Source organism: Homo sapiens, chromosome X, assembly GCF_000001405.40.
Source record: "Homo sapiens chromosome X, GRCh38.p14 Primary Assembly".
Classification (NCBI taxonomy): domain Eukaryota; kingdom Metazoa; phylum Chordata; class Mammalia; order Primates; family Hominidae; genus Homo; species Homo sapiens.
Window position 1 is genome coordinate 123,448,666 of NC_000023.11, and position 23,942 is coordinate 123,472,607.

General features: G+C 39.1%; 1 protein-coding gene across 2 annotated transcripts in view; it reads left to right on the top strand.

Moving 5' to 3' along the window:
- The window catches only part of GRIA3 (glutamate ionotropic receptor AMPA type subunit 3), a 306,638-nt gene that overhangs the window by 264,388 nt on the left and 18,308 nt on the right, over nucleotides 1-23,942 (top strand). The window contains exons 13-14 of one of the 2 annotated variants that reach the window (NM_000828.5): nucleotides 16,200-16,447; nucleotides 17,009-17,123. In NM_000828.5, coding sequence (NP_000819.4) covers nucleotides 16,200-16,447; nucleotides 17,009-17,123 — 363 coding nt within the window. The remainder of the gene's footprint in view (nucleotides 1-16,199; nucleotides 16,448-17,008; nucleotides 17,124-23,942) is intronic. The other variant, NM_007325.5, reaches the window with a different exon arrangement.

The following is a 23,942-nucleotide window of genomic DNA, read 5'->3' on the forward strand; positions in this document are numbered from 1 at the left end:
TTTCAAGTGCTCAATAGACATGTGTGGCTAGAAGCTACCATATTGGAGAGCAGAGATATAGAACATTTCAGAAAGTTCTATGAGATGTTGCTTCCAACTATTAGTTCTTTTAGCTTCTTGAGCATAAGGAACATGTTTTCCACATCTCCATTCCTTACAGCAGGTACCACAATTCCTGATACAACTATGGAATTGGGGAGAAACTAAGTGCTTACTATGTTGTCGTGAGCTATGTCAAATTCATTATAAGCAATCTCTCATTTCATTACCTCAAGAACACTATAAGGTGGGTCCTATTACCATCCCCATTTTTCAGAGGAGGAAACTGAGTCTCAGTGAGGTTGAATTATTTGCCCAAAGTCACACAGTTAATAAGTACCTAAACCAGGTCTTTATAACTTCAGGATCTATACTCTTAACAACTGCTGTGTACACCAAAAGAAAACTGCACATAACTACAAATTTCAACATGGGACAGACAGGCCCCTTCCAGAGCATTGGTGACTAGGTGGCTTCTCCACAGCACTCATGCTGGCCAAGGCAGAATAAAGACAATTTGAGATCAGGGCCTGAGCATGAAGATTGGGGACTTAAATAAGTGTGCTGATTTGTGTTTGCATATGGCTATCAGATTAAGTGGCTATCTGACTACTTCTCTAATGAAATAGCAGCAAATTAGTAGTTTTATCTGCCATTTTGCATATGGAGACCATTGCCTTGACCCCAATGGTAAAGATTAGTGGAACCTAATCATTTCATGAAGTCAACCTCACTTGCTGCACTTATCAGAAGCTTCTGTAACTTGAGCTTCCATGGCGTGCAGTTTATGCCAGGACACGCAAATGCCAGAAAATCAATTTTCCTGCAGCTTTCACAGTCAGTGTGTTTGCCAGACAAAACTGCAGCCAGCCACCTTTTTTAAATCAGCATAGCACCTTTAGAAATAATACTTACCAGAACGCTCCTAACACAGCAAGGAGGAAAAGACTTAAATCTAAACCCAACTGTTCAAAATCGAGAGCCACAGGAGAAGGTGAAATATGAATATATTGAAAGTGAACATTTTAGTGGCCCCATTTGGCACTGTAAAGTATTCTCTGCCAAGCATCTGTTGAGTTAACTTTAATTCTAATCTGTGCCACAGTAGGACTGAAAACACTTAATATGATACCATACTTCCTGTCACCCACATGTGCCCAGGCCCTCACGTGCCCCTGACATATCGGGGTGGCACTCCACATTGCCTGCCTGCCCCAAGACCTATCTTGATTCTTCTTCCTCTGGTATTCTTCTGGCACACATTCTCAAATAAACCAAACCACACAAAGGCAGTGGATGTGGGGTCATGTTACCTTCCCATTTGCCATGAGTGCATAATCTACTTTATTGAAGACTTACTACTTGCCAAGAACTGTTATGGGTGCTTTACATGAATTATCTCATTTAGTAGTCTATCTCCATTTCAGAGATAATTATTAGAGTCTTAGAGAAATTTAAGTAACTTGACCAAGTCAAACAGAAGGCATGATCTCTAATGGTAGCATTTAGGGCCTGTGACAAGCTAGTGAGTTATCATATTGGTGCCTTTTACCTCGGAGCATCTTGCACAGGTTTCAAAGCTGAACCAAGAAAGAAGATCAAGGTTATATAAAATCATGTCAAAACAACAGGTCAAAGAAGTAAACTTCACTCAATTCACTAGTTTTGGTCAATGTAGCTACTAACGATCTTTCCACTGGGAGGCAGTGCAGAGTAGTAGAAAAAAACAACACAGGTTTTTGAAAGCCAGCACACCTGGATTTGAATACTAATTCTGTCCCCCTGCATCTATGCAAACTTGGAATTATAACTTTACCTCTCTAAACTCTGGAAGAGAGAAGAAGGAGAATATAGACTTTGGTGTCAAATGAGCTGGGTTTAAATCTCAGCTACGCATTTATTCATTCAGTTAATATTTATTAAGTACATGCTATATGACAGCCATTGTTGTAAGGGCTCAAAACCAAAGTCCTTGTAATCACTGTAGTGGGTGAGACAAAATTAAACAAATTCTGTAAATAACATATATGTTTCTGTTGGTGTTAAGTGCAATGAAGACAAAAAGCTGGTGAAGAGACAAAATGTTGGTGTGGAGGTGCTATTTCATCTTGGCTGATTGTGGAAGGCCTTTCTGACATTTGATCAGACACCCTGAATGAAAGGAAGGAGCAGGCCATGAAAGTATGAGGTGGAGTTGCGTGGAGAGAAAAGCATTCCAGATGGAATAGCGTTAGCAAAGGCCCTGACATGGGAATACACTTGGTAGGTTTGAGGAAGAAGGTCCATGTGCTAGAGTGAAGTAAGTGAGGGAAAGAGTGGTAAGAGATGAGAGCAGTGAAGAAGACAAACCGTGGTAAAAATTCTGGATTATATTCTGTTTGACAGAAAGTCACTTAGCCGACTTTGAGCAGAGGAATGACATGATCTAATCTATGTGTAAAAGGATCAATCAGACTGCTATGTCAGGGCAAAAGTTGAGAAGCAGGGAGACAGACCACTTAAGAAGTGATTGTAGGCCGGGCATGGTGGCTTATGCCAATAATTCCAGCACTTTGGGAGGCCAAGGCATGAGGAACACTTGAGCCCAGAAGTTCAAGACCAGCCTCAGCAAAATAGTGAGATCTCCATCTCTACAAAGAAATTTTTAAAAAATTAGCTGGATGAGGTGGCACATGCTTGTAGTACCAGTTACTCAAGAGGCTGAGGTGGGAGGATCCCTGAGCCTAGGAATTCGAAGCTGCAGTAAGCTAGGATCACACAAGTGCACGCCAGCCTGGACAACAGAGAGAGACTCTGTCTCTAAAAAAAAAAAAAAAAAAAAAAAAAAAAAAAAAAATTAATTCAATTTAAAAAAGAAGCAATTGCAATATTTCAGGTGAACAATGATTAGCTTGAATTAGGAGGAGGGTAGGGAGAAGTGGTTGCATTTTGAATATAGATTGAGCTGACAAGGTGTGGAATGTGAGGCCAAAGAGAGGAGTCAAGGATGACTAAAAGGATTTTGACCTGAGCAACTGGACAAATTGGAAGGTGCTGCCATTTTCTCTGATGGAGAACCCTAGAGGAGTAGCAAGCAGGGGTGGGGGAGAATCAAGAGATCCATTTTGGCCATGCTAAGTTGGAGATACCTATGAGATATCTAAGTGGAGATATCAGTTAGGTAGATGGATAAATGAATCTAAACTTTAGTGAGGTCAGAGCTAAAAATTTAACCAGCTGTATCACCTTGGAGAAGTAAAATAACTTCTATAAGTATTAGTTAACTTCTCAGTAAAATGGAGATAATATTGGTTTCACAAGGTTGTTTTAAGAATTAGCAATCATGTATATAATGCACGAAGCACCATTCCTGTTGCATGTAAGTGCTTAATAAATGGTAGCCCTCTCATTGTCAGTATTTATGCACTAATTGGTAGCTAGTTGTTGCAGCTGTAGGACCATTGTTGATTATTCTAAACACATCGTTGAATATTAGAATCACTTAGGAAGCATTATTTACAATGTTGGCCCCGCCTCAGGCCAATTAAACCAGAATCACAGAAGCAGTCATCAGTAGCTTCCCAGGTACATAGTATTTCCTGCTGACAAGCTGGCTTTAACAGAACTTCTCTTCAGATTAGTTCCAGCTCACCTTTTAGGAAACTAACACTCCCCCCCCAAAAAAAAAAAACTCTAAATGGAAAATTTGGGCTCTTTTGGATAACCCCAAGCAAATTGCTTCTTCTTTTCTTCATTGCTTTTTTCTCCCCTTAGTAAGAAAATAATTCTCCAGGGACCTGGAAGTAACAGCCACAGTGGAAACAAAACATTGCAATTTCAGGATAGATTTTTCTTCTTAATAGAAGAACATTTTCCCGCTCATTTCCTAGGACCTGTATTGTCAGGTTTGGCCTCCACACTACAATTAATTGATTCAAGAATAACAATAGTATTGAACTTCTCTTTTGAATATCTTAGTAATAGAAAATAAAAATACATTTAATCCAATTGGTCAATGGTAATTGGCTTTGGATTGCTGGAGATGCCGTTTCATTGAAAAATAGAACTCTAGAAGGCTGAGGGAAGTGACCTTGGAGTGTTCAATAGTGATAGCAGTCCTAGAAGCAATCCTTGATTGAGAGTCAGGGAATTTGAGGCTTTGCTCTAGTTAGTAGTGAAAGGGTGTGGCAGACACACTTTCTTTGTGACCCATTCTCTGTCTTGAAAATAGGTTCTGCAACTTTTACACTGTTGGTGGGACTGTAACTAGTTCAACCATTGTGGAAGAAGTCAGTGTGGCGATTCCTCAAGGATCTAGAACTAGAAATACCATTTGAGCCAGCCATCCCATTACTGGGTATATACCCAAAGGATTATAAATCATGCTGCTATAAAGACACATGCACATGTATGTTTATTGCGACACTATTCACAATAGCAAAGACTTGGAACCAACCCAAATGTCCATCAATGATAGACTGGATTAAGAAAATGTGGCACATATACACCATGGAATACTACGCAGCCATAAAAAAGGATGAGTTCATGTCCTTTGTAGGGACATGGTTGAAGCTGGAAACCATCATTCTGAGCAAACTATCAAAAGGACAGAAAACCAAACACCACATGTTCTCACTCATAGATGGGAATTGAACAAAGAGAACACTTGGACACAGGAAGGGGAACATCACACACCGGGGCCTGTCGTGGGGTGGGGGGAGAGGGGAGGGATAGCATTAGGAGATATACCTAATGTAAATGATGAGTTAATGGGTGCAGCACACCAACATGGCACATGTATACATATGTAACAAACCTGCACGTTGTGCACATGTACCCTAGAACTGAAAGTATAATAAAAAATAAAAAATAATAAAAAAAGAAAATAGGTTCTGCAATCTAAAGGTGAAGGTACATAGCAAAGTCAGGTTTTCAACACACACACACACACACACACACACACACAAACTTCTCCTCCATACCCAATTAATGTGTCCACCATTAGGCTATCATTCCTTTAGCTGTGGTTTGATCCTATGAGGAGATCACACTTTTGTATATTGTTCATCATTTCTACCTCAGTGTGAATGTTTCCAATTCTTTTCTGAGCACAGGATGGGGTGGGGAGGGCATCTTTTACCTGATAAGGCAAATGAAAGAGAGGTGGTACTACCCACGCAGGGGAGTGGAAAATGAGGAGCATCTGTGAAAATAAAAGTTGACTCACAGTCTTGGCTTATAACAGCCATATAAGTTCAATACATAACGTTATACTCCTTATATATTTTCATTCTCAAAATAAGGAGAAAAAAATAATTTGTCAACTTCTGGTTTAAAAGGTAGGGTTTTCATGTGGACTAAGGGTAAGACACTTTAGTCTCCAATCCTACATTTCAGGGAGGGAATAATAGAAATATCATGCCCCTTGAAATGATGCTAAAGTATAAGCATCATTTCAATCAGAAAGCAGAATTTCTGTGAAGTCATCCCAACCCTACCACATGGCTTAACCTATCTAGGAATAGTGTACTGTTTGAGAGCAGACTCTGGAGCCTGAATGAGTTCCCAGATCCACCACATACCAGCTGTGTGGCATTAAGCAAACTACTTAACTCCTCTGTGCCTCTGTTTCTGCATGTTTAAATGGGGTAATATATAATAGTATAATCTATTTCATAGAGTTGTTGTGAGAATTACATGAGTTAACACATGTAAAACCCTTGAAATGGACCTGGAACAAAAAGTATGTATTCAATTAAATGTTAGTTATGATGGGTTTTCTTACTTAAAGATGGCTTAATCAAAGTCCATATAGCAGAGTTTCTCAACCTTAGCACCGTTGACATTTGGGGCCGGATAATTACTGGTGGTGGGGGCTGTCCTGTGCATTGTAAGACATTTAACAGCTCCGCTGGCTTCTACCCACTAGATACCAGTAGCACTCCTCTCCCCAAGTTGTGACAATGAAAAGTTGTTGCCAAACGTCTCCTGAGAGGCAAAGTTGTTGCTTACTGAGAGACACAGGGGTAGAGGGTACTGTTTCCCTTCCTCCATTCTCCCAGAATAGAGCAATGGTACCTTAGAAACATTTTCTGAAAGAATGTGTTGACTCTAGCTTTCAAAGTCACATGGCCACTGGCACTATTTTCAACCCATTGGAATATGCTTAGTCTGACTCAGCAAGAGAAGCAGAAGATTAATCAGAACAGTAATCTGACTTTGCATACCAGAGAGGGACACTAGAAAGGTCTCAGGAAACTTAGCTGATTGTCACCTGCACCTTTGGAAAGGAGACATCAGAAATAGCCCTTCTTGAAGTGGAAGGAAACATGTCCCTGGACTTGTGAACACAGTTTGAAACTGTTAAGCAAAGTCATTTACATTTGAGGGCAAAACTTAATGTCTAGGCGAAAGGTGACCTCCAACTCCAATGAAGTTATCTAAAAGCCCAGCCCTCAAAATAACTCAGTCAGGCTCATAACACACAAGTAGAAAAACTAAGAATAGAAACCAGAATTTCTTTCCCTTCCTTTCCCCTGTGTTCACCAATACACAGTCTCATGACAGCTGCTGATTGTCTGAAGCAAAAGGACACAGACAAGCAGTACTTCTCTGAATGTTAAAAATGTGCAAACCTAAGTGAAGGAAGAAAGTGAAATTGGGGTTTTGGCCATGCTTAGAAATGATATCATTTGTTGTGTGCCTTGCTCCAAATCAAAATGGAAACTATTTCCTTTACTTTAGGGGGAAAACTGTAAAAATCAATGATTCCTTTTTCCAAATGCACCTTATTAGAGCTATTGACTTCTTCAAAACATAAGTGGAAGAAAAAAATGTGTCCGATGCATTTGGCAACCCAGATGTATTTTTCTTCTTTTGCCTCAAATTGCTCTGATCACTTTACATGGTGAAGTATGGACACTAAGGGCCTATAGCAGGGTTACAATGAGTGACAAGAATGTTCACTAATTCCAGTGCCTTAGTGAGAGGGGATTTGGAGTTAATTTACAATTTACCCCAACTTCAAAAAAAGCTTGGACAAGAAGCAAAAAATGTTTTTGGAGGTGAGTTGCCCTCTTTCATCAAAAAGGATATTGTCAGTGCTAAAGCAAGCAAAAGAGGCTGGGGTTATCACGGGGAAAGATCTATCTGAAACCTTTCTAGTTGACTTGGATAGTGTCCCAGCCTTGTTCCTCATTAGCTGTGTGACCTAAGATAAGTAGTTGAGTCAATGGCAAATCTTTGAATTTCTGTATTGGAGACTCTTCAAGGTGGAGTTCTGGTTAGGCCTTATTTGGAAACTGCTTAGCAAGCACACAGCTTTTTTCAGGCTTGATTTATACTGAGGGGGTAGATTCATGGAAATGAGTGAGTAGGCTAAAGCCCACTATGGCACCTCTTGGCATTGCCACTGCACTTACCCTCCCTTACCCTCAGTTCCATCTTTTATAAAATGGGAATTCATTCTTTCATTCAATATATATTTATGGGGCACTACTGGGCACACACACTGTTCTCAGTGCTGGGGAGTAAGCAGTGAAAAAACAATAGCTACTGCACCCACCTCACAGGGCTGCTGTGGGGTTTAAATGAGATGGTGTGTGTTAAATCACCCTGGCACCCAGAAAGCTTTATGGAAATATAAAGTTTAAAGATATTCAGCTATCTCCTGCTTCTAGTCATGACAAATCTAAGGCCTCTCTGAATAAGGGAGTATTTGAAAAGTTGTATGGCAGGTAATTCTCACCACAAAAATCTCCTCTTCATGAGTCTAAACCAAGTGCTTGAGATTTCCACAGTTGGAGTCTTAACTTAAAGAACTTAATTTCTGTAGACCTGAGACTTGTGACTACATTAAAGAACTTCAGAATGGGCCCACCCCAGCCACACCTTACCCCTCCCTTATAGTCCTACCCCACCCACCCTAGTAGGACATGCAAGCACATTGTCCTCTTCCAATCCCATCAAACATTAGAAGAGGCAAAGAAGAAAGGAGGAAAAGAGGGGGAGGTCAGGAGCTCTCCAGAGCTGTGGCATCATTGGCCTTCTTTCCTTCTAGCACCTTGCCTTGTAAGGATCACCTATGCATATCCTAGTATTGGTCAATTCTGTGAGGCAACATTTGCTCCTGAATGTTAGAGAAGGCACACAAGGCACACAGGGGTCCTGTAAGTGTTCCGTTCAGGCAGATGGAGGCCCAAAGCCACCCTTTTGAATTTTTACCACCTAGACACCTGAGCCTTTAATAAAAGCAGAAATTACAGAGGACGCTAAATAATTCAGAAGAAAAAGCAGATTGTAGTTTATAATTATATTATCTTAAAGATACAATCTAAAGAAAAAATGGACCAAATTGTCAAGCAAGAAGTAGTCCACAATAAACTTAGAGACAGCAAAATGAGTGAGGAAAAGTCATTTTTGTTTGAAACTCTTGCCATATTTCCCTTTCTTAGTGTCTCATACACAAGGCAGCCTTCTCCAGCCCTTGAAAGGCACCTTTTATAATGCCAAGAAGCCCACTCTCCTTTTTGGGGTATGAATCCCCTATTCAAATCAAAATGACCCCTTGCTCAGGGGTAACAGAAGCCATTATACTGTTAGTGAACACCTCTATGAGGACCATGACTGCTGATACCAGAAAAGGGGTACAAGTTATATCTCTGAGGGAGGCAGACAGTGAAACAGGGAGAAAGTGGTAGAAGATGAGCACCCCAAAGTCAAATCTAGCCCCTTTGACATGTATGTACAAGGCTAGTCCTGTACATACAATGATGGAAATGGACAACATAGGCATGGTGGCAACAGTGTTCAAAAAAATAATTACATGCATAAAGCTGGCCCATTTTCCTTTGAGGAACACTGGAATACAAAGTGCCTAAAAGTATCTTCCCCGACCTCTCCTTCATTACATGTTGGGGAATAGAGATGTTACAAACACCAATACTGTCTTTACAAATTATGTAATACTTTGTCTGCATTCTGACAGTAAATTAATAGCATAAATGAATAGCATATTATGCTTCTGTTGATAAACATGCTTCCAATTTATTAGTCCATTTTGGTAATTCAGTTAATTCTGCACTATCAACATATGGGAAAGTGGATGTTGAACCCTGTCAAACTGAGGAATTGTGCTCATGTCAAGACCACGAGAAGAGATGGTTCCATTGTCCTTTATGTTAATGTCACTATATCAAGCATATTGTGCTCAATTTGGGAGGCCACATTTTAGGAGGGACTTTAAAAAAATGAAAAGGTATCTAGAAGATTGTGACCAGAAAAGGTGAGTTGAATGGAATTTGTGTCATAAAAGTAACAAATGAAGGCCCTTAAAATGTTTAGCCTGCAAACAAGGCAATTAACAAGTGACACTGTGGCAGTAGATTCCAGGCTGTACATCGTGTCGGGAAGAGAGCATACTGATTCTCTATTGCTACAAAGAGAAAAATTAGGACCAGTAGGTGACACTTCAATTTTAATATTCACTCATTCCACCGACACATAGTGAGAGTTTACTGTGTGCCAGGCATCATGCTACACACCCGTGGTGCGGTGACAAAAAAAGACATGATCCCTACTCTCAAGGGGCTCAGATTTGGCTGGGGATAACCATTGCAAAGCAAAATAATCAGTACTCCCTACAATGGAGAAATGGAAACAGAGAGGACGTACTGCCCAATTCAAGCAGGAGACAGAAGTAGGATTGGAGAGGAGAGGCTTTCATTAAGAATATCAGCCAAACCAAAGGAACTTTCTATCAACTTGAATTGTCCCACCATGGAATAAGCTACTTCCTATGCCTCCTCTGAGCTAGGGAGTGCCTCTTCACCAGAAGCATTTAAGCAAGAAGCTATCACTTCACCGGGTGAGAGGCTCAACAAAATGGTTTTTAAGGCGCCTTCTAGCTCTAAAATTCTGTTATTCTACTGACTCCAAGTGGATATACTATTGACCAAGTGGATATCCTATTTTATCTCACAGGAAAGCAGAAAATTTTATTCACCAAGTTTCCCCAGTAGCAGTGTTCTGGTTAATGAGGATTTTAATGTATAAGCCTCAACTTAACTGCAAAACATAAATGTAAAAGGAAAAGTTGCCATCCTGCCCATTCTCCTACACCAACAAAATTTTTAAAATCCAATTTCAAATGATAGTAATTTTTGTTGATGGCAGACCCTGGTCATTCACCAGGCATATGTCTGGAGATCCAAATATACAAATAATACTTAAGCATGTGATTTCTCCCATAAAATGAAGTAATGATTCCGTAAATATGGCACTGAAGTAATTTATAATACCATTAAAATAAATTCTGTCAGTAAAACAAATTATACTTTCTTTATTATAAAGATATATAATGTTTTTCCCACTTCCTGTGTTTCAGGGATTCTTCTAAGTATGTATTAACCCATTTAATTTCTCCCAATAAACCTTTGAAGTATACACTTAAAAAATCATCCCATTTTATGGGTGAGGAAATTGAGACACATAGATGCTAGATAATTTATGTACTTAGCAAGTGTGATTCAAACCCAAGCAGTCTGACTACATGTTCTTAAGCACTGCACTATATAGTTACTTTGAACTTACATAAAGAATAGTTTTATCACTAGAGAGCTACTATATGCACAATGACTAGGAGTGAACAACACCGTTGCAAAGAGACACAAGGTCTAAGTGGTAGGCTTCTGTGTACCAGACTCACAGGGCCCAAGATTCAAATCTTCACATCAACAAAAAGACAGATTTCTTCATATATTTGACCTTCATGATGTATTACGAATAGTTAGAGCTACAACTGTTGAATCCATTAATGCTAAGGCTCTACCATATCTGCTATTTGGGATTAATCTGTTCCTTCTCCATTTATGTATTTCTCCTTTGGATTTTGGTTGCTAATTATCTAGCAGTGCTTGAGAATTTCTTATGGCCTTTCTTTATAACCATTGTTTGTTCCTTTTTAGGTACAAAATGGTGCTCTGTGGGATGAATGAAATGAATGGTGGTGGGTTGGAGAAAAATGAACTTGTTATTACACATCCTGCCCATAAATTGTTTAACTTCTCCCAGATGACAGAGCTAAGATTCAGTCCCTTTTATTGCCTTCTTTATTTCATCCAAAATAAGACAGAATGCAAAAAAAAAAAGGAAAGAAAAAAAGAGGAAATGCTAGTTTTCTTTCTTCTTTATGGTCTGAATGTTATACTGACACTTAAATACTAGTTGGAAAGATAAACGTTTCAGCTTAATTTCTCCTACTTATGAGTCATTTCTTTTCCCCCTTCTAATCTTTTTGAGAATTCAGTCATCAAAAAGAGTCCAATCATTTCTGCCACTAACTGACTTGTCATTTAATGCATTCATTAATATCTGCCACATGTACACCATGTGCATTTAAAGGGCCTGCTTCAAGCACTGCTATTTATTCTCCTAGAAATGCATCATTACCTAAAGGAATAAACCTTTTAACCTGTATCAGCAATCAAAGAGCTCAAGTAAATGATGAAGTAAATGAGTCCAAATTATAGTGCACTTGGATCAGAATTCATGGACCCCTTTGCCCTTGGCTTATAAATTTATCTTTGGAAGCAATGGCCTGTTTGCAAATAGTGTAAAAGACAAATATGTCTGAAGTCTCCCCTTCCTGGACCCCCACTTTGTATTCAGGTCTGGTTGGGCCAAGATGAAAAACACAAAACAGCTCTTTATAAATGCACAAAAATGCATACCCACTACAGGGTTTTCTATAATGCCAAAAATAATGGAAATTATCTAAGAGCCCTTCAAAAGGGGTTGGGTAAATAAAACATAGTGTGTTCGTAGATTGAAGAGCTATGCAGCCATTATAAAGGAAATATGCTTATTCTAGTAAAAGTATAAAAAGGTGCAAGGGAATAGTAAAGGCTAAATTCAGTATCGTGGTTACTTTTGGCGAGTAGAGAAGAATATGTATTTAGGGAGGGGTAGATAAGCAGACTTTAACTAACTTCATAATGTTTAATTTGTTAAGCTTTATGGCAGGTACACAGGTGTTTTTACATTATTTTTATATCTTTCTGTGTATCGAATTATTGATTATTTTTTAATTCCTTGGGTAACTAACTAGGAAATGTCTACTGAAATAAAGTCCTTGACAATGTATTTCATTACAATGCTTAAAAATTGTCTTATGTGTCAAAAGAGGATAATGTAATATGGAATGAGCATAAATGACTATGGGTGAGATTTTAATCTTAGAAGGCCTTGATTGTTAGGGATTATTTGGGGGGAAGTTATTGATGTGGGCATCAAAGGCAGACTAAGTAGCATTTAAAAAGAGGATTGAAAAGCATATATCCAAATTGGTTTAGCAAGGTACTCAGTGATTTTTAGAAAAATTTCAGCTCTAGAATTCTACAGTGCTATAAAGATAGTGCTGGTAGCCATTTTTACCTGAACTTCTGATATCTTTGACCAGCAATCTGGTCGTCACCATGGTCAAGCCTAAGCTTCAGTTATTAAGAAAACTTATCTTTAGTCTGTCATGTATAGAGTAATTTGCTGGCTGCCAAGAGGGCTAGCAAAATTAATAAGGTATGGACTTTGTCCTCAAGAAACACTCAAGTAACAGGGGAAGACAGACACATAGTCAACTCACCCTACTGCAATTAAGCTCTATAGCAAAGGTATGAGCAAATGGCTTTGGGAGGACACCCAAAGAAGCACTTCGTGGGGGCAGGAAAGGGTTAGGAAAGACTTCACAGAAGACATGACATCTGCTCTGGATCTTGTAGATGAATAAGGTAATTTAAGCAGAAGCAAAAGCATAACCAAAGGCATAAGACATGGAAGTGGCTTATTTCAGTGACCAGTGAATAGCCCAGCATGACCTAATCACAGGAGAGTGTAACCAAGATCATAAGCACTCTTGAATATCATACATAAGAGTTTGGATTTTTTTTTCCTGTAGGTATTAGGGAACTAGCCGAGGATTTTAAAGAATGAAGTAACTTGATTAAGTTTGCATTTTGGAAGAATCACTAGAGGATAAATTGAAGAGAGAGATGAAGCAGGGAGACTAGTTAGGAAGCAAGATAGTCTAGACAAAACAACGATGGAGCCTGACCAAGGGAGGGCAATGGTAATGAGAATGAAAAGAAGATGAGAGGACAGATTTTAAAGTCATTACTATATTAGAAAAAACATGGCAGAATGAGGGAGTGAGGGAAAAGTAAAACCAAACCCTTTAGCTTGGAGGTTAGGTGGTTTACTGATAGAATGTAGAAGGAAACCCAGGCTTTACAAGGTATATAATATAGATTTAGTTGGGAAAAGTTTAATCTGAAAATGTCTACAGGACCATCAGGTGGAGATGTCCATCATCAGGGCTTGTTTGCTATCTTCCCAAAACACATCTGGAATCCAGCCTTTTCTTTCTACCTCCATTGCTCCCACCCTAGTCCAAGCCACAGTCATCTCCCCTCTGGAATATCAGAATAGCCTCCTAACTAATTTCCCTTTCTTCCACTCTGACCCAACTCATAGTCTATTCTCCATATGGCAGTGAGAGTAATCTTTAAAAATTTAAGTAAGATCTTATCACACCCCTCCTCAAAATCTTCCAATAGTCTCCTATAACAGGTAGAATAAATCCAAACTTTTTACCATGACCTACAGGGCCCTACAAGATCTGGCCTCTGATTATCCACCTAAGCTCATTTCCTACGACTCTCCCTTTTTCTCATTTAATTTCAGCCACAGTGGCTTCCTTTGCTATAATTTGTGCAAACCAAATGTGTTCCCATCTCAGTGAAGAGTTTCACTGACTCTGTGAGGGCTTCCATGAGGGTCTGATTGCCATAAACACAATGCTTAATGTCCCTGGTGATCCAGCTGGGCGAGGTGGCTCAGGCCGGTAATCCCAGCACTTTGCCAGGTGAAGGTGGGAGGATTGCTTGAGGCCAGCAATTTGAGTCCATGGTGATAGTTCTGGAAGTTCCAGCCCCCCCTGGAATTATTTGGGCAGGTCCAAGCAGGCCCCAAGAAAGATGCAACACAGCCGGCCAAAGTCTAGAGAAGAGCAACTAAATAAATAATCAAGAAAGTTGGGGTGGGGGCCAGGAAACCCCACAAAAAGACATTTGAAAACATGGTATATGTTTATGGTTTCTGCCATGCTATCTCAACCTCTGGTCAAGTATCACCTTAGAATTTTTTTCTAGGATTTTCATTCCTAAGGACCTAGCTCCCAAGTCAATTGGAAGTTTTTGAGTCATTGAGTCTACAATTCTTTTATAGTCTCCAGAATGACTAACATAGGGCTAGAGGCACAGTAAGCATTTAATATATGTTCTAGGGACCACCTGAATTGAAATGAAATTTAATGGGATTATATGCAAAATTCAAAAAGGTAAAGATGAAGGAGACTTGACTTGGCAGAAAGAACTAAGTTTTGGTTTGACCTCAACCTGAGTTGATGGAAAGACTCTATTGACTCTATTATATTCTTCCAGTGCTTCTCAATAAAAAAAAATTTTGTTGAAAGGATAGAGGAATGACTAAATATATTAATGCAAATTCAAACAGCATTGGTAGAAAATAATGCTCCAGGTCAGGTGCTCACGCCTGTAATCCCAACACTTTGGGAGGCTGAGGAGGGAGATTCACTTGAGCCCAGGAGTTTGAGACCAGCCTAGGAAACATAGTGAGACCTCGTCTCTACAAAAAAATAAACAAAATTAGCTGGGCTTGGTGGTGCACACTTGTAGTCCCAGGTATTCAGGAGGCTGATGCAGGAGGATCACTTGAGCCTGGGAGGTCAAGGCTGCAGTGAACTAAGATCACAGCACTGCACTCCAGTCTGGGTGACAGAGTGAGACGAAAGAAGCGAAGGAAGGAAGGAAGGAAGGAAGGAAGGGAGGGAGGGAGGGAGGGAGGGAGGGAGGGAGGGAAAGAAAGAAAGAAAGAAAGAAAGAAAGAAAGAAAGAAAGAAAGAAAGAAAGAAAGAAAGAAAGAAAGAAAGAGAGAGAAAGAAAGAAAAAGAAAGAAAGAAAGAAAGAAAGAGAAAGAAGAGAGAGAAAGAAAGAAAAAGAGAGAAAGAAAGAAGAGAAAGAAAGAAAAAGAAAGAGAAAGAAAGAAGAAAGAGAGAGAAAGAAAAAGAAAGAGAAAGAAAGAAAGAAAGAGAGAAACCAAACAGAAAAGAATGCTCTAAAATAAGAAGCAAAAGTTTGTTGTTGTTGTTTTTTCATTCTGTTCTGGTCATTTATTTGGGGTACCGTGTCTATTTCTATACACTCTAAATAGAGACAGACATTACCAACTACAATGTGCCTACGAGTGGAAAACCAAAGTTGTGAGAGTTCTGGAAACAATATCAGTCAGAGTTTCACCTGATGAAGAGATGAGAAGGGGACATAATAAAGGCCTTTCAATAATTAAAGAACCGTTGTACATTAAAAAAAAGAACCGTTGTAAAAAGGGACAGAATTATTTTACATAGCTCTAGGGGATAGTACCGGGGGTGGGGGTGTGGATTAAAATACTACCTATTGAATACAATATTCACAAACTAGGTGGCAGGATCCGTACTCCATACCTTAGCATCACACAATATTCCTATGTAACACATCTGCAAATGTACCCCCTGTGTCTAAAATAAAAGTTGAAATTGTAAAAAGGAATGGGAGTTATAGAAAAACAAAGATCATCTCAGAATAAGGAGGTACTTTCTTACAATAATTGATATCTCATGCTGGACTGGGCTGACTAAAATAGCTGTACACTACCTTATAATGGTCTTTGATTAGGCATATCCTGCTACGATTAGATAAACATAGCAGGATATTGTAGAGGAGATTTTTTCATTGAGAGGAAGGTTGAACTAACAAAGTGTTTTTCAAATAAGATTGCAACCAATTAGTGGGGCCATGAAATCCATTTAGTGGGTCCTGAGCAACATTATTTAAAATGAATTAGAATAGAATAGAAAATATCAGAGAGCATCACACATAGCAAGGATGAGTGTGGTTTTGAGAACTTGTTTTGGAAACAATGTTTACGTATGTATGAACGTGCCTACTAGGTTGCAGTGTAACGTGTTTTTTATTACTGTGGATTGCAATTAAAAAAAAAAAACTACTGCACTAACCCTCCTCCAGACTGAATATCTGGCAGCTCTAAGAATTCTTATCTCTTTGGTGCAGAGATCCAAAATTGCTGTGTACGAGAAAATGTGGTCTTACATGAAATCAGCGGAGCCATCTGTGTTTACCAAAACAACAGCAGACGGAGTGGCCCGAGTGCGAAAGTCCAAGGGAAAGTTCGCCTTCCTGCTGGAGTCAACCATGAATGAGTACATTGAGCAGAGAAAACCATGTGATACGATGAAAGTTGGTGGAAATCTGGATTCCAAAGGCTATGGTGTGGCAACCCCTAAAGGCTCAGCATTAAGGTGGGTGGAATAATATAACAATATCCGTGTTGTTATAGTATTCCACCTACCCTGATGCATTTTGTTGTCATTTTCTTTCTTGTGGATTTTGAGGTAACTTTTAAAAGTTTAAAATCTACAATATTCCATGGAGTTAAATAAGACGGTAAATTATGGTTTCATCTATTTAATGCATCCATTTTTTTTAATGTTCTCTCTCTGTGTTGTCCTCTCTGACTGTTTGTTGCTGTTTTAATTTTACAGTTCAACGGCTTTTTCAATTTAAATGGTAAAAGCCAAGTTATGGTGCCATATGTGACGAATGTTAATTGCATGGATGTGGTGTTCTTGTTACTTTTTTTCTCAAAGACAATTTCCCCATCCCGCACACTTCAGTTTTGAGCAAATGTTATCCTCCATGCCACCTTCCAATATTTAACCCTGTATTTGCTGTACAGACATTTTTATAGCTCCACGTTCTGTGAAATTTAGCCAATTTGTCCTCTTGTGCTCCTTTTTATACGTTAACGATTTCCTAAGCATTTGTGCATTTTCTTACAAGTTATGTTTTATCGTTTCAAGAAATGCTGTTAACCTGGCAGTATTAAAACTGAATGAGCAAGGCCTCTTGGACAAATTGAAAAACAAATGGTGGTACGACAAAGGAGAGTGCGGCAGCGGGGGCGGTGACTCCAAGGTCAGCCTCAATGTCACCACAACCGGGTACCCTTAGTGACGAGTAATCGGCAAGACTGTTATCTTATTATTGAGGAGAGAGCACAAGACTCACACATAAAGTGGAATGACCAGGTTATTCCCCTGCCTGGCAGCTTTGGGAACCAAAAAGACTTTAGGGCACTGCCCACATTTTTGATCTAACTTGGGTCCCTTCTTCAACTCCCAGACAGAGGCTCCAACCACACCCTTTCCCTTCCTTTACCCACCAGTTTGGTTGCCTTATGAAAGCCATGATGTGGGTTTCAATGCCCTAGGCTTTCAAGAGTCCAAGGCTTTCCTGTGAGACTGTCCCCGCCTGCCTCAGTTGAGTGGTATGAAAAATCAGATCCATCTACTGAAAAATCAGGGCATAGCCTTTTGTTTTCTAGGTTGTGATGGTTGCTCACAGAGGTTGGTTGGTTGAGTAAGGGTGGCTTCTTCAATTATGTGTCTGAGTGATGAGATGTTGTTCTCTATATGTGATAGCCCATTTAAGCAGGCCCCACTTAACTTGAAAGCCAAATAACAAGCTCGGTTTCAAGTTAAATGGGGTCTTTCTTCAATAGGCCACCCCATATAGAGACTTTGCAGAGACATTTTGTGTATTTAAGCAAGTGCGTCGCCTAACTGTGATACTATATGTGTGTATGAATCCCTGATTTAGCTTCTCCTTAGCCATGTTCTTGGTTCAGGTAGGTCTAATTGTTATCCAGGCTGCCATCATGAGAAAACCCATCTTACTTGGCATTCCTTTGACTTCTAATGCTCTTTGGAGCTAGAATGAATGAATAGCCATCATCCAAGCAACAAGAAATAGGGGCAAGCTCAGAAGCCGCGATACAAAGTCATGGAAACACACTTCGGGTAAGTACAGGAGAGGACCTGAAAATAGAATCCTCCTTGGCCCAAGGGGCATGAGAATTATATTGAAGCATGTAAACTCACCTCTTGTACGACCAAGATCCCATGGGCATCTTAAGGTGAAGAACAGTGTTTCCCAACCACAGACCAACAGACAGGCAAGCCAAAACTTTTCTTCTTCAGAGACAATGGTTGCACTTCTGCTCCTCTCTTTCCCTCTCTATCCCTCAGGATCCTGATGGAAAAGTTAGTTTGCCAGTCTGCAAATATAATATGGGTTTGGAAACACTGATCCAGAACACTTTCAAAGAAATCAATTTTAAAAGAACTTTCTTCAGCAAATAATCTTACCAGGCATTGGCATGGCCTTTTATCGTAAAACCTTGATTAACCAGAACTCACCTAACCAGTACCCCAACTAACTGAATTGCCCCTTCAGTACTTCACATTGATGAGAAAGCAGCAATAGTATTCCAAAAAAGAAGACTGCAAGGAATTGATTTTTTTAAAAAATACTTACCAAGAGATGACCTATGGTTGGGTCACATTCGGCTCTTTCTCCTCTATCTTCTCTCCATCTGGATTGACCCTCAAACGTTAGAGGCTGCTTCCCTGAGGCGAGAAAGTAGATAGAAGCATTTTAAGAAAAACTGTTATTAGCCAACAATGAACAAAATGGTTGTTCTTATTGAAAATTCCATTCATCCCTTATGGATTCCAATTAATCAAGGTTTTACTATGTGTCAAAAAGCAGTAACTTTCTTTCCCACCAATGTGAACTGATGACACTGACAATTTAGCCAAGCTTTTGGCTCATTTCATATTTACAATGGCCAACTTGATGGCCAAAGTATTTAGCACCTGTCTTTTTCTCATGTTATTTGCACGGAGAACCTAATTGTATCATTGAAGTGAGTTGCAGAATGAAAATTGAGCTGGATTGGATGCATTGCTCTCACGAATTCATCATTCATACTCATCATGGTTAAAAAGGAGCCATGGACTGTAACAAGATGACTCTAAAACATCCACATGATGCCAAGTGCCCAGAAGTTTTCAGATAACCAGACGTTTGATGTTATATAAACAAACAAAAAAATCTGCACATATTTGGCTGACTTTTTACTTTTCACCCAGATGTTTTGGTACATGAAGACCCCAAAACTTTAGACCAGCTATTTTTTCATTACAACCAGCAATCAAGCTTTTTTTCCCTCAGCTAGTACTGCTGCAAAGTTTTTTATCAAGTAACTTTATTGACAGCTCACGATTTCCAGATTATCTGAATTTTGATATGCAAATAGAAAAATATTTCAGTAGATCCTAAATGTTTTCAACTTCTCTAACCATAGTGCTACCTGCCAGGCATCTTTCAAATCGCTTTCCTTGGTCATTCCTACAGCCAGTCTTTTGAAATAAGTCAACCCTTTTCTCAACTATGGATAATAGTATGATCGATCAGTGCTGCATACCCAACGATTGCTTATTCCATTTCTGGATTACCAAGAAGCTTGCCTTTGTCTTCTTCCTTCTTGCTACCTGCTGTTTTCTGAGAGTGAGCAAGAGAAGGGGCAAGAGATGAACGTGAATCTGGTTACCACTACGTATTAGTGATGCAAAAAAAAAAAATCAATGGAGAAGGAGGTAGAAATAGCAGTAAAACCTCATTAATTTGAAGCCCTCTAATTAATAATTTGTGATAAACTAGACAGGGACCAGTCTACAAGTTAACTTTATATTATCAGGCATGAGGACAAGAAAGGTTTGTTAAGCAAATGAAGAGTTTAGACTGGAATGTCAGTTGAATTTTTTCTTAAGAGAACAAACCCTTTTCAAATGTTAGAAGCACTTATTAGATATAATCATATTCGTTACATATCTATAGGCTAAAGTAGCTCTCACGAGGATCTCCACTAAGGCAATGTTTTATAGTCAGTTTGAATTACAAAATAGACTTAAAGTAATAAAATTGTCATTCTTTAAACCTATTTTGTAATGCAGGACTTGCTTTACTCATTCAGACAATCCTTTCCCTCTGTTCCTCCAAATCAGTGAGGTTTTACTGTATTAGCAAAATGACTTGAGATTTACATCTCTTCATTGTGTCCCATCTCGTTAACATGAAAATTGACTGTTGAATATACCATCATTTCACAGAGAAAGTGCGATCCAGAGATGGTGATGACTTTGAGAAGGTCACACAGCTAATGCTGTCATAAATCTCTGCTGACTTTCAGAGTCACCTCTTGTGATAATATTGCAGATGGCAATTTAGCACTACCACCTATCCAATGAGCAATGTGAATCTGATTGCAAGCGATATGTTTCCATAAGAATCAGGTTCATTCGCAACTACCTTGGTTACTAGGCAAAAGGCATATTTAAGCTGTTCCAGCCCTCAGTACTGATTACTAAAAATGACAATAATCACAACGCCTGACATTTATAAGTGCTTTTACTTTTTCAAAAACACTTTCAGACCTATTATCTCTGAAACCAGAAGAGGGAGAAATACCTGTATCACTTATCTTTCTGTCTCTCTCTCTCTCTCCAACCTTTAACTAATGATAAATGGGCAATTATATTAAGTCATTGACTTTTTCTTCCCTGGCATGAGACATTACACATTCTGAGATTAGTCTAGAAAAGTTACCATACTATGGAAAGAAACAGCAAATTTTCAGGCTGTCGTAAATGTGCATGAGCTTAAACTAATAAAACTAATGTTTTATTATTTTATTTTATTTTTATGGATACAGGGAATTAAAAACAAGGTCAGTCTCTGAGGCAGCCCCTGAACCATACCTACAAGCTGAAACCAGAATACTCCTTGGCTTTCCCAATTTCCCAAACCTGAGCTAATAGGACCTAAACAAAACAGACTTGATCATTTCTTGATGAACTGTAAATGCACATGCAAGGATCATGTAAATTAGAACTGTGCTTTGGGAATTTTTAACCTGCAAATCACCCTTTTGTGTTCATGCTTTATTACAATGTGTGTGCAGATGCAGTAATTAAGAGCCAGTAGGTTGTTTCAGTGATAAACCCAGATCACCAGGGATTTGTGACATAGCCAGTGAAAGTCTATCATTGTAAATCACAGCAGAATGGAGGATTTATGTACAGAACTACCACATAGGCACATCAGCCTCCTTCTGCAGCTGCCTGTCCCCTCAAAAGTTTATGTTCTTATCCACCCTACTTCATTCCCTTAATCTTGGGTAAAGGGCACCAGCTTCGCTTTCCCATCTAGCCTTACCTTACAAGATAGGGTAGGGTCAGTGAAACGAGCTATTTGTGACTGAGGTGGAAAGTTATTAACAAACCCTACCCAACCTCACCACAGAATTATACCAGACTTTAGTCCTCTCTAGGGATTAAAATAGACTCCCAGTTTCCATATATTCCAAGATGAAAATCAGCACATGTGTGCTCTTGGGAACATTGTAACAATATTTAAAGGGACCATTCTGAGCCCCTTGACTGCAATGATAATTGTAGGATAGGTGGGTGCCTTAACTTGAGAGGCATATAAGGAAATGAGGGAGGAGGATGGGATGTGCAATTGAACCTCCATTATTTAAATAAATGGTAAGATGCTCATTATGACTTATAGAATATTGATAGAGAAATGCAGTTTTACTATATCTTCAAAAATATATAGGAACTAGAATAAACTGACCAATGTGATGCTAGGAAAAAACATAGGGAATTTGTTTAAATCGTTTCAAAAAATGCCTGCAATTAAAATCAGTGGTGTTTCCTTTCACATGGGTGCTCTTAAGGTACCTAAAAAGAGTTTGTTCTCTGAAGAAATTAAAACATGTTCCTCCTCCCTATCACTAGCTATCTTTGTTTTTTTAAATCCCATGCATTTGCTTAGCAAGTCTTCTCTTCAAAGATAGTAAAAAGTTACACTCTCGGACAGCCCATTTCCAAAATCCCTCAGCTTCATATTTGGTGGCACATAGATGAATGAGGTTATACTGTATTTCCCATTGGTATACATGAGATCTTCAGTTTTGTGTGTATTTCTTCTTCTTCCATGTATGTCTACAATTCTCCTCTCCTATGCCACCGTCTCTTAACCACTTCTCTTCCACACCCAGAATTCTTTGACTTTCTTGGGCCGTGGGTAATGGATATGAATCTGCATCTGCCTTTGCCTGCAACAAAATGGACCTTTTATTGGCAGGAGCCATCCCTAAAGGTTGACATTTCGGATACTCAGGGTTAAGATGGATCCCAATGACTCTTTATTGACACTGTTATGTGTGTAGGCAAGAATCATTACAGATCGATGGCACTTCCTGGGTCTTAGCAGAAGTTCCTGTGAATCCTCAAGACTCTGGTTTGGGATCGAGGAGTAGGGTGAGTATATTGTGCTCTTCGTTGGTTTGCATGATTCTATGCTGGTACTGCCTCCTGGAAGTATGAAGAACCTGACAGTTTTCTTTCCTGGTAGTCACTAAATTTGCTCCTTGAACTTACTCAGGTCTTCCTCCCAAGAGCAAATCCTCACTTTCTCTCAAGTGACTGCTTCAAGCAAGGGACCTGTTGCCTTAAGAACTGAACCAGTCCAATGGCTGCCAAAACCATTGATTTTGCCAAATGATATTAAAGAATAAATTCTACCACCGGAAAAAAATGTAATCCAGAAAGAAAACACTTTTAAAAAATAATTCCATTCTAATGATTTTTTAAAAAATGAACTATGGCCTTAACATGGTTTCTATGATTAGGACATTATTATTTGCCTTTGGTGTTATCCTGATAACATGAATGTGTTTCTTATTGACAAATAATGACCAAATGTCCAACACCAGAGCTACAGAAAGAGCCACAGGAATGAAAAGCCTGAAGGTAAGAATGCTGTTATACAATTGCCAAGAGGAAAGATGCCATTGCAGTGGCAGACAGTGAAATGGTGTATGTTTATTCCCTTTCTGCCCTTTGAAGACCAAATCATTTGGTTTCCTTTCATTTGAAGAGAAGGTTATACACAATCTCTGAAAGGTAGGACAGCCATGGAAAAGAAACATGAAAAATTTGATGCAATTGAAATATATTTGGTGAGGGTGGGAGTTGGGGTTGGTGGAACAGGGTGGGGGCAAATTTCTTTTACGAACAATTGAATTCCATTCTCTTTTGACTTTCTAGAGAGCGGTATAGCATTTGGCCCTTGGCACATGAGGCTGATCCCCATTGATCAGAAGTGGCAAAAGTGTTGTCCAAGTGCTGGATTCACCTTTTTGCCTAATTTCATCTAGCATTGAAGCAAATGTTTTTCAAAATATATACCTAAGGCAATGGCATTCATATATATATATATATATATATATATATATATGACTATTTGTATGTCCTGTCTAACATCACTGCTGGAAGGGCAGATGTGATGTGTAGATGCTAGAATGTATGCTAATAGAGGGTGGTATATGCCCTGGCATGGCAAACAGATCTGATTTCAGATCTGATATATAGACTTCACTTGTTGCAATCTAGCTAAAACTGATTATTTTTCTATGAGTCATGGTCAAGGGATGGCTATTGGAGAATAAAGAGGATGTTGGCACCCATCAGATTGAACTCTCAATGCATATTTTGTCTAGGATCAGGGGAATGAGTTAAATGTCTTCAGAAACATACATCATGTGAGTTTCTGGTACCGATCTGTTTCTCTCTTCTCATTCTATGCTTCTCTAGGTGCCATTGGAATGAACTAAAGAAAACACACTTATATATGATAAAACCCAATAAAATTTGATAGTTTGATCTTTCAAAGGATCTTAAACCAGAGTTTTCAAGTGAATCATGCCAATTATGTATTTGAGAAAGTGTCTATGGCCATATTTTGTTCAAAACTTAGCATTTTCCCTGAGCCCCTTCTCTCTGTCAGGGATAAATTGAGTAAGAGGTCTTCCCAGACTATTGG